The following is a 14869-nucleotide window of genomic DNA, read 5'->3' as shown; positions in this document are numbered from 1 at the left end:
AGTCGGGTGACCAACAGTTATCCCCAAGTTGAACAACAAGCTCTGGTGTTTATTCCCCTCCCTAATAAAAGGTCCTCAGGGACTGGAGGGCCCCTTGAATGTGATTTTGTGGAATGTGTTGGAATTGCCCACATAAGTTGGGAGTAGACATGAAAAAAACATGGTCTGATGTAGCCATTCAATATCTGAGTGAACAGAATTCATTCTACCTGTGGCAGGCCAGGTCTCGCTAGCAGCTGAACAGGCAGGCCTCCATCACAACAGTTTCAGCACCGACTGAGTGGGTAAGTTAAATATTAAAAGCTGACAGAGCCAGTGCCCTCACACAAAGGCTGGAATGTAACAAAAGACCACCAAGAGTTTTGCCCAGGCCTTTCCTGGGCCTTGAAGTATGACAGGATAATGAAGGAATTCTCAACAGGACCCATTCAGGATTAAACAAGTTTTTATTAGGGGTCTGAAGAAACTCCCCAGACCTCCACAAACAAGTTTTATTGGGGTCTGAAAGAACCCCCCAAGCCTCCATGATTTAGCAGGAGACAAGATAAAGGTAATGACCTCAGCACCTGGACCCATCTAGTTTAAGTAAATTTACTAAGGCTCCAGAGGAAGGTCTTCAGGACTCAGACCTTCCTTATAGATTAGAAGAAGTTAATCACTTACGTCTTCAGAGGAATGAACACTTACACGTAGACATATAGCTTAGAAGGCATATAAGCTCTGGAAAACTTTGTAATTTTTAATTGGTCTGGTGATATTTCTTGGCCTTCTCCCTGTGTACCCAGTTACAGAAATAGACTCTCTTGTTTCCCAGTTCATCTGCATCTGGTTATTGGGCTGTGAGAATAAGCAGCCTGACCCTCAGTTTGGTTCAGGGACATACCCAAGAAATATGAAGTGATATCCCTGCTGATAAAGTTAGAGATGTGATGTGTGAGTATCTCATGATGCAGCAATTCCTTTTAAAAAAATACACCCTGGCCGGGCGCGGTGGCTCACGCCTGTAATCCCAGCACTTTGGGAGGCCGAGGCGGGTGGATCATGAGGTCAGGAGATCAAGACCATTCTGGCTAACAGGGTGAAACCCCGTCTCTACTAAAAAATACAAAAAATTAGCCAGGCGTGGTGGCGGGCGCCTGTAGTCCCAGCTACTGGGGAGGCTGAGGCAGGAGAATGGCGTGAACCAGGGAGGCGGAGCTTGCAGTGAGCCGAGATCACGCAACTGCACTCCAGCCTGGGAGACAGAGCAAGACTCTGTCTCAAAACAAACTAACAAACATACATACATACAAAAAAACAAAAAAATACACCCTGGCTAGGCATGGTGGCTCACACCTGTAATCCCAGCACTTTGGGAGGCCGAGGCAGGCAGATCATGAGGTCAGGAGATCGAGACCATCCTGGCTAATACAGTGAAACCCCGTCTCTATTAAAAATACAAAAAATTAGCTTGGCGTGTTGGCGGGCGCCTGTAGTCCCAGCTACTCGGGAGGCTGAGGCAGGAGAATGGCGTGAACCCAGGAGGTGGAGGTTGCAGTGATCCGAGACCTCACCACTGCACTCCAGCTTGGGCGACAGAATGAGACTCCGTCTCAAAACAAACAAGCAAACAAACAAACAAAAAACAAAAAATAGGCCCTGGCTGGACGCGGTGGCTCACACCTGTAATCCCCGCACTTTGGCAGGCAGAGGCGAGAGCATTTCTTGAGCCCAGGAGATCAAGACCAGGCTGGGTAACAAAGTGAGACCCCCATCTCTACAAAAAATAATAAGACAATAAATAAAAATATATGCTAGAGCAGGGGTTGGCAAATTTTTCCTGTAATTGACCAAGTAGCAAATATATTCAGCTTTGCTGGCCGTAAATTTCCTGGCAATGACTCAGTCCTGCCGCGGCAGTGTGGTTAACAGTCACAGACAATATGTCACAAGCATGGCCGGGCTCCAATCAAACTGTATTTACCTAAACAAGCAGAAAGCTAGGTTTGGCCTCCTGGCTGTAGCTTTCTTACCTCTGCCCTGGAGAAACTCAGCCATGGCTGAGAAGCCCTGCACACTGCTTGTCATGGTGAAGAATGGAACAGAACTTAAATTACTTGAAATTTAAATGTCTCATCCCATAAGGAGAGACCAACTTTTACTTATCTATCCACACACTAGCCCAGTATATGTCTAGGATGAGCATTAGCGCTACACATCCATATGCTGAAGACTTATGCAGTCTTTCATGGAAAGACAGGAATCTGGAAGAGATTGTGGTTCCTTTTCGCAGAGCAGTTAAGGAACAAGAAGGCATTTCCATTATGCAGCAGAAGGACAATGTCCCCTCTCTCGCCAGGGGTCAGTCTAAATCGCCTCTCTCTTCTCGTCATAGCCACGGGGGTCAAATTTTAGCTCGTCTTAGCTTCGACCAGATGTGTGACCTTGGACAAGGTGCTCCATACACCTGACCTCCAGTGCAACATGGAGTTGAAGGGAGAAATAATTCACATAAAGCAAGTGCTTGACATTGTGTCTGCTATATGGCAAATGCCAAATAAATATCAACCAATATGAAGAAATGAGTAGTCAGTGCTTTTTGCCACTTCTTAAGAAAAAGAAATCCATTATATTTGCCAAAATAAAGATCTTCTGGAAGAGTTTTGGTCGAGTGGAGGGGATGAGGAATTACATGAGTGGTAACAGTTTGTATCTACTGAGCACTAAATGAAGGACTGGACTTATTCAGTGTGTTGTAGATTTTAACACGTTTAACAACCTTATTTTATATATATATATATATATATATATATATATATATATATATATATATATATAATTATTATTTTTTCTTTTTTAAGATAGTGGCGCGATCTCGGCTATCTGCAGCCTCTGCCTCCTGGGTTCAAGTGATTCTCCTGCCTCAGCCTCCCGAGTAGCTGGGATTACAGGTGCCCGCCACCATGCCTGGCTAATTTTTGTGTTTTTAGTAGAAACGGGGTTTTACCATGTTGGCCAGCATGGTCTCGAACTCCTGGCCTCAAGTGATCCACCTGCCTCGGCCTCCCAAAGTGCTGGGATTACAGGCATGAACCACGGCACCCAGCTTGTTTCTTTTAATTCAAGATGGAAAAGATATTTTTACACGGAAAGAAAGACCCTCTAGAGGTGTGCTGTCTGATATGGTAGCTACTAGCTGCATGTAGCTATCTACATTTAAATTCAGTAAAGTTAAATAAAATGTAAACGTTCATTCACTCGGTCACACCAGCCACATTCCAAGAGCTCAGTGGTTGCCTGTGGCCAGTGGCTCCTGTATTGGATAAGACAGATTCAGGATGTCTTCATCATCACGTTAAGTTCCATTAGCAGCACTTTCCTTGAGACCAAAAGCTTCTGATACACAAAAGTAGGAGTGAGGCTGGGCGCAGCGGCTCATGCCTGTAATTCCAGTGCTTTGGGAGGCCAAGGTGGGAAGATTGCTTGAGGCCGGGAGTTGAAGATTAGCCTGGGTAACACAGGGAAACCTCATCTCTCCAAAAAAATAAAAAATTAGCCAGGCATGGTGGTGCATGCCTGTGATTCCAGATACCTGGGAGGCTGAGGTGGGAGAATTGTTTGAGCCCAGAAGGTTGAGGTTGCAGTGAGCCACGATCGTACCACTGCCTTCCTGGGTGACAGAAAGAGACCCTATCTCAAAAACAGAAGTAGGAGTGATAGATGAAGCAAGGTCCCATCTTTATGGGCATGCAGCACAGAGGGAGGGAGGGTGAACAAGGGATCTCATTTTGCCCAGTATTCTCCCAGGTTTAGCACGGAAAGTCCTATATCCCAGGAACACCTTCAGTCCTGGCAGTAAAACAAAGTCCTGGGTCTGAGAAATCTCCTTAATCCTAAACAAACTGGGACAGTTTGTAAAACAAACATGTATCACCGTAGATATATGTTTGTTTTAAAACAGAAGTACTGGCCGCGTGCGATGGCTCATGCCTGTAATCCCAGCAATTTGGGAGGCCGAGGTGGGCGGATGACCTGAGGTCAGGAGTTTGAGACCAGCCTGGCCAACATGGTGAAACCCCATCTCTACTAAAAATGCCAAAATTAGCCGGGTGCAGTGGCATGCGTTTGTAATCCTAGCTACTCGGGAGGCTGAGGCAGGAGAATCGCTTGAACCCAGAAGGCAGAGGTTGCAGTGAGCTGAGATTGCACCACTGCACTCCAGCCTGGGCAACAGAGTGACACTCTGTCTCAAAAAACAAAACAAAACAAAACAAAGCAACAGAAGTACTGTGCAAACTAGGCTAGGAAAGAGATCAGAAAGGTTTGCAGATTGACCCCCTAAACACCCGGGACACCATAGTCAAGGCCTCCGGGTAGGACGGGCTACCCAAGGAGGGACCGAAGCACTTACTCAGAGCCAGGATGGGAGCTGGAGCTGAGCTTCCACACGTTCATGAAGTTCAGGGTGACGGTCAGTTCCACCTCATGCAAATATTGACACCGCTTCAGGCAAAAAGCAGACACTTGAACTTCTTTGTTGTTGCCAATTCTCAAGACAACTTTATGATAATCATTTAGGGCTTGGCTTACAAAGGCTTCCTCCCGGATTTCATGCAGACAGTAGAATAACTGCGGGACCCCACTGCCCGGAGAAGGTGGGTCACATTTATGCAACAGAGGTATGACTTTCAGCAGTTTCCTCTTATTACCGAAAGACACCTTGCATTGGAATGACTGTTCCACGGCCGAAGCGCAGGCCTCGTTCAGAAAACCGAATAAGAAAAGTCCCATGTGAGAGAGATAGCTTTTGCTTCCTCTGGGACTCGCTATCAGGCGCTGGATATTCACGTGGCTCAACACATGAAAATTTTTGAGTCTTTGTGGGAAACAGAGAACATAAAACAAGGCCGCAAAAAATTCCTGAAAAGTCACGAGGGTAAAGACATAGTGGTCTTCCTCACCTGCAATTCTCCGAAGAATACTCATGCCAAGGAAGGCGGTGACTCCCGTCTGATCCAGCTTGGCTTCCTCAAGATCTTCTTTACCTAACACCCATTTCCTGTGCCACATGCTGTCTGCGGCCAAGTGACACAGACCTTCCAGTTGTGCTTGGTGGATCTTTCTGGAAAAGTTCTCAGCTCTGGTGGGAAACAAGCTAGAAATATACCGGACGAACACAGAGGTGGCATTTGGACATGACTGTGTGAGATTGTTTCCTCTCTCCATTTGCTGTTTCAGACCAGAGCAGACCATCCAGCAAACCACAGGGACCCGGCACATGGAGAAGAGAATGGTGTTTTCCATGGCGAAACTCAAGACTTGGTCTCCCTCCTCTGTGTGTCCAAAATACATCTGGAAATACTTGATTTTTTCCATCGTATTAAACCCCGGAAGGGTTACGAGAGAGGGACATTTCAGCAAGGGCTTGCATGTCTGCCAAGAGGTAAATCTTATCATGATCAGTAGCGTGGCCTCTGGAAGCATCGTTTTGCTCAGCAAACTGCTCAGTAGGACAGACCCAGGCAATTTCTGCCTCCAGTCTTCACTCAGGTCCTCCAGTCTGTCAATGAGGGTAGATGTGAGCTCCTCAAAGCCATCCAAGAGCAGCAGAAGTTGGTCGGGTTTGGACATAATCTTTGACACGAGGTCCTGAGATCCAGGCCACTTTTGCTCAATCAGCTCGGAGAAGCTCTGGTCTGTCGTCTGGTTCACCTCTTGGCAATGGAAGTAGAAAGCACACCAGCGCTTGTGGGCGTAGAACTTGTTTCTGGCCCACTCAAACATCACCTTTTTGGCCAGGATTGTTTTTCCGATCCCAGGAGCTCCCTGTATGGCCACGGTCTTGGGCTGTCTACCCTGGGGTCTTTTGGGCAGAAGCAGACATGGTAAGTACTCCTCGTGCCTGTGTACACCTTGGTAGAAGAAGTCCCTCTGGTTTCCAGGCCAAGTCGTAATGTCCCATATGGGGAAAAACTTTTCCATCACATTCGATTTATACCGCCGTATTTTACCTAGATTTGTGAGATGGGAGAAATAAAGGGTATGACATCAGAGTGAATTGCAAGAACTAATAGAGCAATAAGAAAACCAGTCTCGATGTCTACGTGAAGCCCCGTGATGCCCTTGCATAAATGAAATAACCTTTCCTGATACTGCTGTGTCAACTAGGAAGCACCAACGAACAGAAAACTCAGCTTGAAGTGGCTTAAACAAAACAAGGACTGCTTTCTACGTGAGAAGTATGGCGGGCGTAAAGCTGTTGAAATTAGGTTCAGTGGCGCCATAGTTTCAGGTCCAGCAGCATCACGATTCTCTCAGCCCTTTCTTTGTATTTCTTGCCTCACAGATAGAAGATCGCTGCTGTAGTGTTAGCCGTGTTATCTCCATTCAAATCAGAAATACTTGGGAGGGCCGGGTGTGGCGGCTTGTACCTGTAATCCCAGCACTTTGGGAGGCTGAGGATGGTGGATCACTTGGGGTCAGGAGTTCAAGACCAGCCTGGCTAACATGGTGAAACCCTGTCTCTACTAAAAATACAAAATTAGCCAGGCGTGGTGGTGCACACGCCGGTAATCCCAGCTACTCAGGAGGTGGAGGCAGGAGAATTGCTTGAATCCAGGCGGCAGAGGTTCCAGTGAGCCAAGATTGCGCCACTGCACTCCAGTGTGGGTGACAGAGTGAGACTCTGTCTTAAAAAAAAAAAAAAAAAAAAAAAAAAAGGCCAGGCACAGTGGCTTACGCCTGTAATCCCAGCACTTTGGGAGGCCGAGGCGGGCACGAGGTTAGGAGTTTGAGACCAGCCTGGCTAACATGGTGAAACCCCATCTCTACTAAACATACAAAAGTTAGCTGGGCGTGGTGGCATGTGCCTGTAATCCCAGCTACGCAGGAGGCTAAGGCAGGAGAATCACTTGAACCTGGGAGGCAGAAGGTTGCAGTGAGCTGAGAGATCACGCCACTGCACTCCAGCCTGGGCGACAGAGCGAGACTCCGTCTCAAAAAAAATAAAGAAAGAAAGAAAGAAAGAAAGAAATAGAGACACACTCTATTGAAGTGGTCCCCAAGTGGAAGACAAGTTTTCCATGGACCAGGTGGCGGGGGATGGTTTTGGGATAATTCAAGTGCATTACGTTTATTGTGTACTTTATTTCTATTATTATTACATTATAATATGTAATGAAATAATTATACAACTCAGTATAATGTAGAGTCACTGGGAGCCCTGAGCTTGTTTTCCCGCAACTCGATGGTCCCATCCAGGGGTGATGGGAGACGGTGACGGATCAGGCATTAGATTCTCAGGAGAGCACAGCCTAGATCCCTCGCATGCACAGTTCACGAGAGGGTTTGCACTCCTATGAGAATCTGATGCCACTGCTGATCTGACAGGAGGCAGAGCCCAGGAGGTAATGTGAGCAATAGGGAGCAGCTGTAAATACAGATGAAGCTTTGGTTGCTCCCTGCCACTCACCTCCTGCTGTGTGGCCCAGTTCCTAACAGGCCACAGACTGGTACTAGTCCATGGCCCGGGGGTTGGGGACCGCTGAGCCAATGGTTTGTGTCTGTTTTTTTATTTTATTATTTTTTTTGAGATGGAGTCTCAATCTGTCACCCAAGAGTGCAGTGGCGTGATCTCACCTCACTGCAACCCTCCGCCTCCCGGGTTCAAGCAATTCTTCTCACTCAGCCTCCCAAGTAGCTGGGACTACAGGCAACTGCCACCACGCCCGGCTAGTTTCTGTGTTTTTAGTAGAGACAGAGTTTCGCCATGTTGGTTCTGATTGTAGAAGAAACACTGGACATGGTAACTTAAAATCTGGCTTGCCTTAGCAACTGAGCAGCTCATCCCAGTCCATAGCCCATTTTTTCACCAGGGTCTGCTGTGATACAGGCACATACCAGATTCTCCTTCCTCCAGATTCACCTGTGTTTCTCCCACATTCAAGTCCTCTGGTTCCAAGGTAGGCAGAATGGCTGTAACAGAAAAAAGGAGGCTGTTCCACGGGAATGATAAGATCTTGGTAGCAGGGAAACAGCATGGAGCCAATGGCCTTTTTAGGACAGAAGCAGCCACATGGCTTCAGAGTCTCATCCTCTCACCACCTCCGTTCAGGGAGAAGAAAATCACCTAGATCTATCTCTATCACAGCAATTTTAGGAAATGAGAAAAGGTGTTGTTCTACAATGCATTGAGTAAGGTGTTCAAAAACATGTTATAAATGGATAGCCCAGCCAGACACTGAGGGAGAAATATAAATACACACATACTCTTACACACACAAGTGTATGTAAAATCCATACACAGTTTAATATCTACGTAGGGGTGTATCTATACGTCCAGTCGGCCTTTCATTACCGTGGGATCTACATCGGTGGGATCAACCAACTGAGGATGGAACATAAACTAAAAACCCAATAAAAATACAACAATAAAATAATACAATTAAAAAACCAATACGAGGCTGGGCACTGTGGCTCACGCCTGTAATCCCAGCACTTTGGGAGGCTGAGGCAGGAGGATTGCTTGAGCCAAGGAGTTCGAGACCAGCTTGGGCAACATAGCAAGACCTCAACTCTACTAAAAAAATAAAAAATAATTAGCCAGGCATGGTGGCATGCCTATAGTCCTAACCACTCAGGAGGCTGAGGCAGGAGGATTGCTTGAGCTCAGGAGGCAGAGGCTGAAGGGAGCCATGATCATACCACTCCACTCCAACCTGGGTAATAGAGTAAGACCTTGTCTCAAAAAAATAAAAAACCCAATACAGGATAACAACTATTTACATAGCATTTACATTGTGTTGGGTATTATAAGTAATTTAGAGTGATTTTAAGTCTGTGGGAGGATGTGTATGGGTTCTATGCAAATACTATGCCATTTTACATGAAGGAGTTGAGCACCCATGAATTTGTTCAGTACCCTTGAGGGAGAGCCTGGAACCAATCCCCCATGGATACCAAGGAACTTCTAGCTTAATATCTATGTATGTGTGCACATATGTGTACATACACGTGTATATCTCTACATACACATACACATATAGTCATTGATTCTTGTTATGTGTGGTAGTTCTCGTCTATAAAATTCTTGTGAACACCAAATTCGCTAATACTGAACCATTGCCCCCAGGAAAACACAACGTTTGTTTCCTGCTAGTCTCTGGTTACAACATTTTCATGGACTGATCAATATAAAAACTTGTTTTACATGTGTTTTTGTTTAAAGACACCTTATTTAGTACATATTGTTGATTATTTAACATTGAGCTCGTGGTCAACCACACTGATAAATCCTGCCTGAAGGAAGCTCAGCTAACAAGCGTATTTTCTCCCTAAGGCACAGCATGGCCTTCTTGCCCTGAGGAACATGGAAAGGCACATCAGCACTAGTTTTGGGTACCATTTTTATTTTTATTTTTATTCTTATTTTTTTTGAGACTAAGTCTCACTCTGTCACCCAGGCTGGAGTGCAGTGGTGTGATCTCAGCTCACTGCAACCTCTGCCTCCTGGGTTCAAGCGATTCTTCTGCCTCAGCTTCCCAAGTAGCTGGGACTACAGGCGTGCGCCACCACGCCCGGCTAATTTCTGTATTTTTAGTAGAGATGCGGTTTCACCGTGTTAGCCAGGCTGGTCTCAAACTCCTGACCTCATGATCCTCCCGCCTCGGCCTCCCAAAGTGCTGGGATTATAGGCGTGAGCCACTGCGCCTGGCCCCACCTCGGCCTTTCAGACTGCTGGGATTATAGGCGTGAGCCATCGTGCCCAGCCTGGGTGCTATTTTAAACAGCAAAACCACCAACTCAAAGCACAAAAGTGTGGCACCACATAGGCGTGGAAATGACACTGGCTTACGGGGTGAGAGCTAAAGCCAGAAGGCAGAGCGTCACCTTGTTTGACCTCGGCTAGGAGGTCAGCTCGATTTTTTTGCTGCGTTGCTGTCTGGGAATGATCTTGAAAGCGCTGTAAGTATTGATTTGGGGGTTACGAATACATTTTAATGAGTAGGCACATTCACGAATACAGAATCCATGAACAATGAGGATCAACTGCGTACGTGTGTCTCTGTGTGTGTGTGTGTGTGTGTGTTTCTTGAGATGGAGTTCTGCTTTTGTCACCCAGGCTGGAGTGCAGTGGCATGATCTTAGCCCTCTGCAACCTCTGCCTCCTGGGTTCAAGCAATTCTCTTGCCTTAGCCTCCCGAATAGCTGGGATTACAGGCACCCGTCACCACGCCCGGCTATTTTTTTTTTTTTTGTAGTTTTAGTAGAGACTGGGTTTCACCATGTTGGCCGGGCTGGTCTTGAACTCCTGACCTTGGGTGATCCACCCACCTCTGCCTCCCAAAGTGCTGGGATTACAGGCGTGAGCCACCGTGCCTGGCCTCTCTGTGTATTTTTCATCAGGTTTTCATAAATATTAACATTTTCTGTTTAACACTAAGATTTTCTCTACCACTGGGTCACGGGGTTTCCATCCCCTCTGATTTTCTTTTCCGGTGACTCTCTCTCCTTTTCACATGATGAGCTATTTCCTCCTGTGTTAGGTCTCAACCTTAGCATCATTTCCTCAAAGAGGACTTCCTAGGCTGCCTTATCAAAAGAAAGTCCCTTTTCACAATCAATTACTCTCTAGCCATCTAATATTTGAGCACCTATGACATGCTAGGTGCTGAGCCAGCTGTTGGGGTGCCAGTGGCTAAGGAGACGTAAGGCACCCACTCTCCTGTGTTTATGTTTAAAACTGTGGAGCTGACGTTTTCTCCATTCTTACCAATGAGACTGACTACTTGTAATATCAGCTATTGGGAGAGGCGGGTTCACAGCTCCTATCATGTTTCTGGATTGGTGTATTTTCCTTTAATACAGTAGTCCCCCCTTCTCTGCAGGGTCTATGTTCCAAGATCCCCGGTGGATATCTGAAACTGTGGATAGTACTGAACAATGTGGATACTGATTTTTTTAAATACATATCTAGGCCGGGTGTGGTGGCTCACACCTGTAATTCCAGCACTTTGGGAGGCCGAGGCAGGCAAATCACCTAAGGTCAGGAGTTTGAAACCAGCCTGGCCAACATGGTGAAACCCCGTTTCTACTAAAAATACAAAAATTAGCTGGGTGTGGTGGTGCGCACCTGTAATCCCAGCTACTGGGGAGGCTGAGGCATGAGAATTGCTTGAACCTGGGAGGTGGAGGTTGCAGTGAGCTGAGATCACACCACTGCACTCCAGCCTGTGTGACAGAATGAAGACTCCATCTCAAAATAGAAAAAAAATACATACCGATCTATGATAAAAGTTTAAATTATAAATTAGGTACAGTAAGAGATTAACAATAATAATGAAATAGAACAATTATAATACTATACTATCATAAACGGTATGTAAATGTGGTCTCTCTCTGTCTCAGAATATCTCAGTGTACTGTACTCATCTATTTTTGGCCATGATCAACCCAAACTTCAGAAAGCAAAACCTTGGATAAGGGGATGACTGTAGTCCAGCTCTGCTTTATTCATATTGAAGATGAGGTTTTGGATTACAATATCCTCCAGTGGGATTCACCCTTTGTTGCTGCGAAATGGCCTTTTAAAGTGTTTAACCTTCTTGCTTTAAATATAGCACTCCTGACATCACCATAGCTATACCAGCTGTCTTCTGCTGTTTCCATAGCATATGCTTTTCCACTATTTTACTTCCTACTTCTCTATGACTTCATTTAACGTTCACCTCATATAAGCAGTATTCAGTTAAGTTTTTAAAAAATAGGCCCATATGGGCTGGGCACAGTGGCTCACACCTGCAATCCCAGCACTTTGGGGGGCCAAGGCAGGCGGATTACCTGAGGTCAGTAGTTCGAGACCAGCCTGGCCAACATGGTGAAACCCCGTCTCTACTAAAAATAAAAAAAAATTACCCAGGCATGGTGGTGGGTGCCTGTAATCCCAGCTACTCAGGAGGCTGAGGCAGGAGAATCACCTGTACCTGGGAGGCGGGGTTTGCAGTGAGCCGAGATTGTGCCATTGCACTTCAGCCTGGGCAAGAAGAGCGAAACCCCATCTCAGAAAAATAAAATTAAAAAAATGCCCGTATGACAGTCTTTGCCTTTGGGTTAGATCCATTATCTTCCTCCACTGTTTGCTTTCTTGCTCAGAAGGCCAATAAGTGATAGGGGTGGTGACTAGAGTAGTTTAGCTGCCCAGCAGCCAAGCCCACCCCCACTTTATCCACCAGATCAACACTCACCATTTATCTCTCTGCGGACTACAACACACATTTTATCACAGTTCATAATGGCAAAGATGTTCGAAGTCACATCCCAAGCGCGTCGTCCAGGGAAACGCTCTATCAAGAGATGAACCACCTCTGCCCAGCTGGCTGTCTCGACCTGGTCCCAGGTGATGGGCATGGTGCCAGTACTGAGCTCAGTCAGTAAGAGCTGCTTGAACCGTTGTAGCTCCTCATGGCTCACGTTTCTCATGTACAGCATGACCCCATTTTCACATGGGGAGCCGGGGTAGCAAGAGAATGTCCAGGGCGGAATATGAGAACTGTGAGTGGAGGAGGATGAAAAGGGAATGGGGGTGTCAGAGGGTGGATTCACGTCACTCATCTTTAGTCAAGGCAGAGAACACCTCAGTGTCCACGATAAAGACAACCGATTGGAAGAGAGAAACACGAGACCTGCAGAGACATAAAACAATAAAACAAGAAGATGAAAACACTACCCAAGAAAACAGATTCGTGTAATGCTTACTTGGCAGGTATTCTGCGTGCCGGGTACTCCCTTTACCTCCTTTCCTCAAAGATTCTCTGCCCTATGGAAAAACTGAAGATGCATGGAATGTTTGGGATTAGTCCATTAGACTAATGGATTGTTTGTAGTTTCTATTCTCCATGACTTCTTTTGGGGAAGAGGCAAGCAAAATATCAAAGCCTTCACAAAAGGTTTAGCGAAAAGAAAAATTAGAAGCAGGTAAAATAATTCAGTGAAGCTAAAATCTAGAAAATATATGGTTGGTTAGAAGGCTCCATTAGATTAAAAGTGATCTCAAATTCAACAAAGTTTTTATTCTTAAAAAAATGGATCATGTATTAGAGAGATGCAAATCAAAACCACAACGAGATGTCATCTCACACCAGTCAGAATGGTGATTATTAAAAAGTCAAGCAATAACAGATGCTGTATTCTTAAAAAATGGATCATGTATTAGAGAGATGCAAATCAAAACCACAACGAGATGTCATCTCACACCAGTCAGAATGGTGATTATTAAAAAGTCAAGCAATAACAGATGCTGGTGAAGTCGCAGAGAAAAAGGAACACTTATACTCTGTGTGTGGGAGTGTAAATTAGTTCAACTACTCTGGATGACAGTGGGGCAACTCCTCAAAGACCTAAAAAGAGAACTACCATTCAACTCAGCAATCCCATTACTGGATATATATCCAAAGGAATATAAATCATTCTATTATAAAGACACATTCCTGTGTATGTTCATTGCAGCACTACTCACAATAGCAAAGTCATGGAATCAACCTAAATGCCCATCAGTGATAGACCGGATAAAAAAATGTGGTACATAAACACCATGGAATACTATGCAGCCATAAAAAAGAATGAGATCATGACCTTTGCAGGAACATAGATGGAGCCAGAGACCATTATTCCTTAGCAAACTAACACAGGAACAGGAAACCAAATACCACATGTGCTCATTTATAAGTGGTAGCTAAACGATGAGAACACATGGACACATAGAGGGAACACCACACACTGGAGTCTGCTAGAGGCTGGAGGGTGGGAGGAGGGAGAAGATCAGGAAAAATAACTAATGGGTACTGGGATTAATACCTGGGTGATGAGATAACCTGTACAACAAACCCACCCCCATAACACGTTTGCCTATATAACAAACCTGCACATGTACCCCTGTATCTAAAAGAAATGTAAAAAAGAAATAAAATAAAAAGGATCATGGGTGTATTTTTGTCCCCCCTGCCCCAACTTCCAATAATAGTTTATTTATTTATTATTTATTTATTTACTTAGAGACAGAGTCTCACTCTGTTTCCCAGGCTGGAGTGCAGTGGTGTGATCTCGGCTCACTGCAACCTCCACTTCCCTGGTTCAAGCAATTCCCTTGCCTCAGCCCCCTGAGTAGCTGGGATTACAGGCACCTGCCACCATGCCTGGCTAATTTTTTTGTATTTTTAGTATAGATGGGGTTTCACTATGTTGGCCAGGCTGGTCTCAAACTCCTGACCTCAAGTGATCCACCCACCTCAGCCTCCCAAAGTGCTGGGATTACAGGTGTGAGCCACTGCACCTGGCCAATAGCTTCTTCTTTAACACTTCTCCCTCTTATAACTTATGTGACACCCAAACATCTGGATAAACTTGTTTAATTGACTCAGTCCTCCCTTGGGTCCAGAGTAGCTGGGCTTGGTCCCAGGACAAAGGTGATATGCTCCTGGGTGGCTGACTCTTGCTAGTGCTCCTTCCGTCCAGTGGGTGGCGCTGCATGGAGGAGCCTAACACAGTCACACATTTTCTACCTCTACTTATTCCATGACCATTGCTGACCACGTTCCAGCCACAGTGAGCTGCAGCTTTAAGAAATTTGCAGGACTGGCTGGGTGCGGTGGCTCACGCCTGTAATCCCAGCACTTTGGGAGGCCAAGACAGGTGGATCACTTCAGGCCAGGAGTTCCAGACCAGCCTGGCCAACATGGTGAAACCCTGCCTCTATTAAAAACACAAAAAGTAGCTGGGCGTGGTGGTGGGTGCCTGTAATCCCAGCTACTCGGGAGGCTGAGGCAGGAGAATTGCTTGAACCCAGGAGGCAGAGGTTGCAATGAGTGGATATCATGCCACTGCACTCCAGCCAGGG

At 45.9% G+C, this 14869-nt stretch overlaps 1 protein-coding gene across 2 annotated transcripts in view; it reads right to left on the bottom strand.

Annotated features, from left to right (window-relative positions):
* NLRP8 (NLR family pyrin domain containing 8) overlaps nt 1-12659 on the bottom strand; it is a 40798-nt gene extending 28139 nt beyond the window's left edge. For both annotated transcript variants that reach the window (NM_001317000.1, NM_001433706.1), the window contains exons 1-3: nt 12222-12659; nt 7879-7953; nt 4391-5990 (exon numbers count right to left, since the gene is read on the bottom strand). In NM_001317000.1, coding sequence (NP_001303929.1) covers nt 4391-5990; nt 7879-7953; nt 12222-12588 — 2042 coding nt within the window. In that variant the 5' untranslated portion in view covers nt 12589-12659. The remainder of the gene's footprint in view (nt 1-4390; nt 5991-7878; nt 7954-12221) is intronic.

The sequence above is a fragment of the Homo sapiens genome, chromosome 19 (genome assembly GCF_000001405.40).
Source record: "Homo sapiens chromosome 19, GRCh38.p14 Primary Assembly".
Classification (NCBI taxonomy): Eukaryota; Metazoa; Chordata; class Mammalia; order Primates; family Hominidae; genus Homo; species Homo sapiens.
The sequence above is the reverse complement of the archived record's forward strand: the minus strand, read 5'-3'. Positions and strand labels throughout refer to the sequence as shown.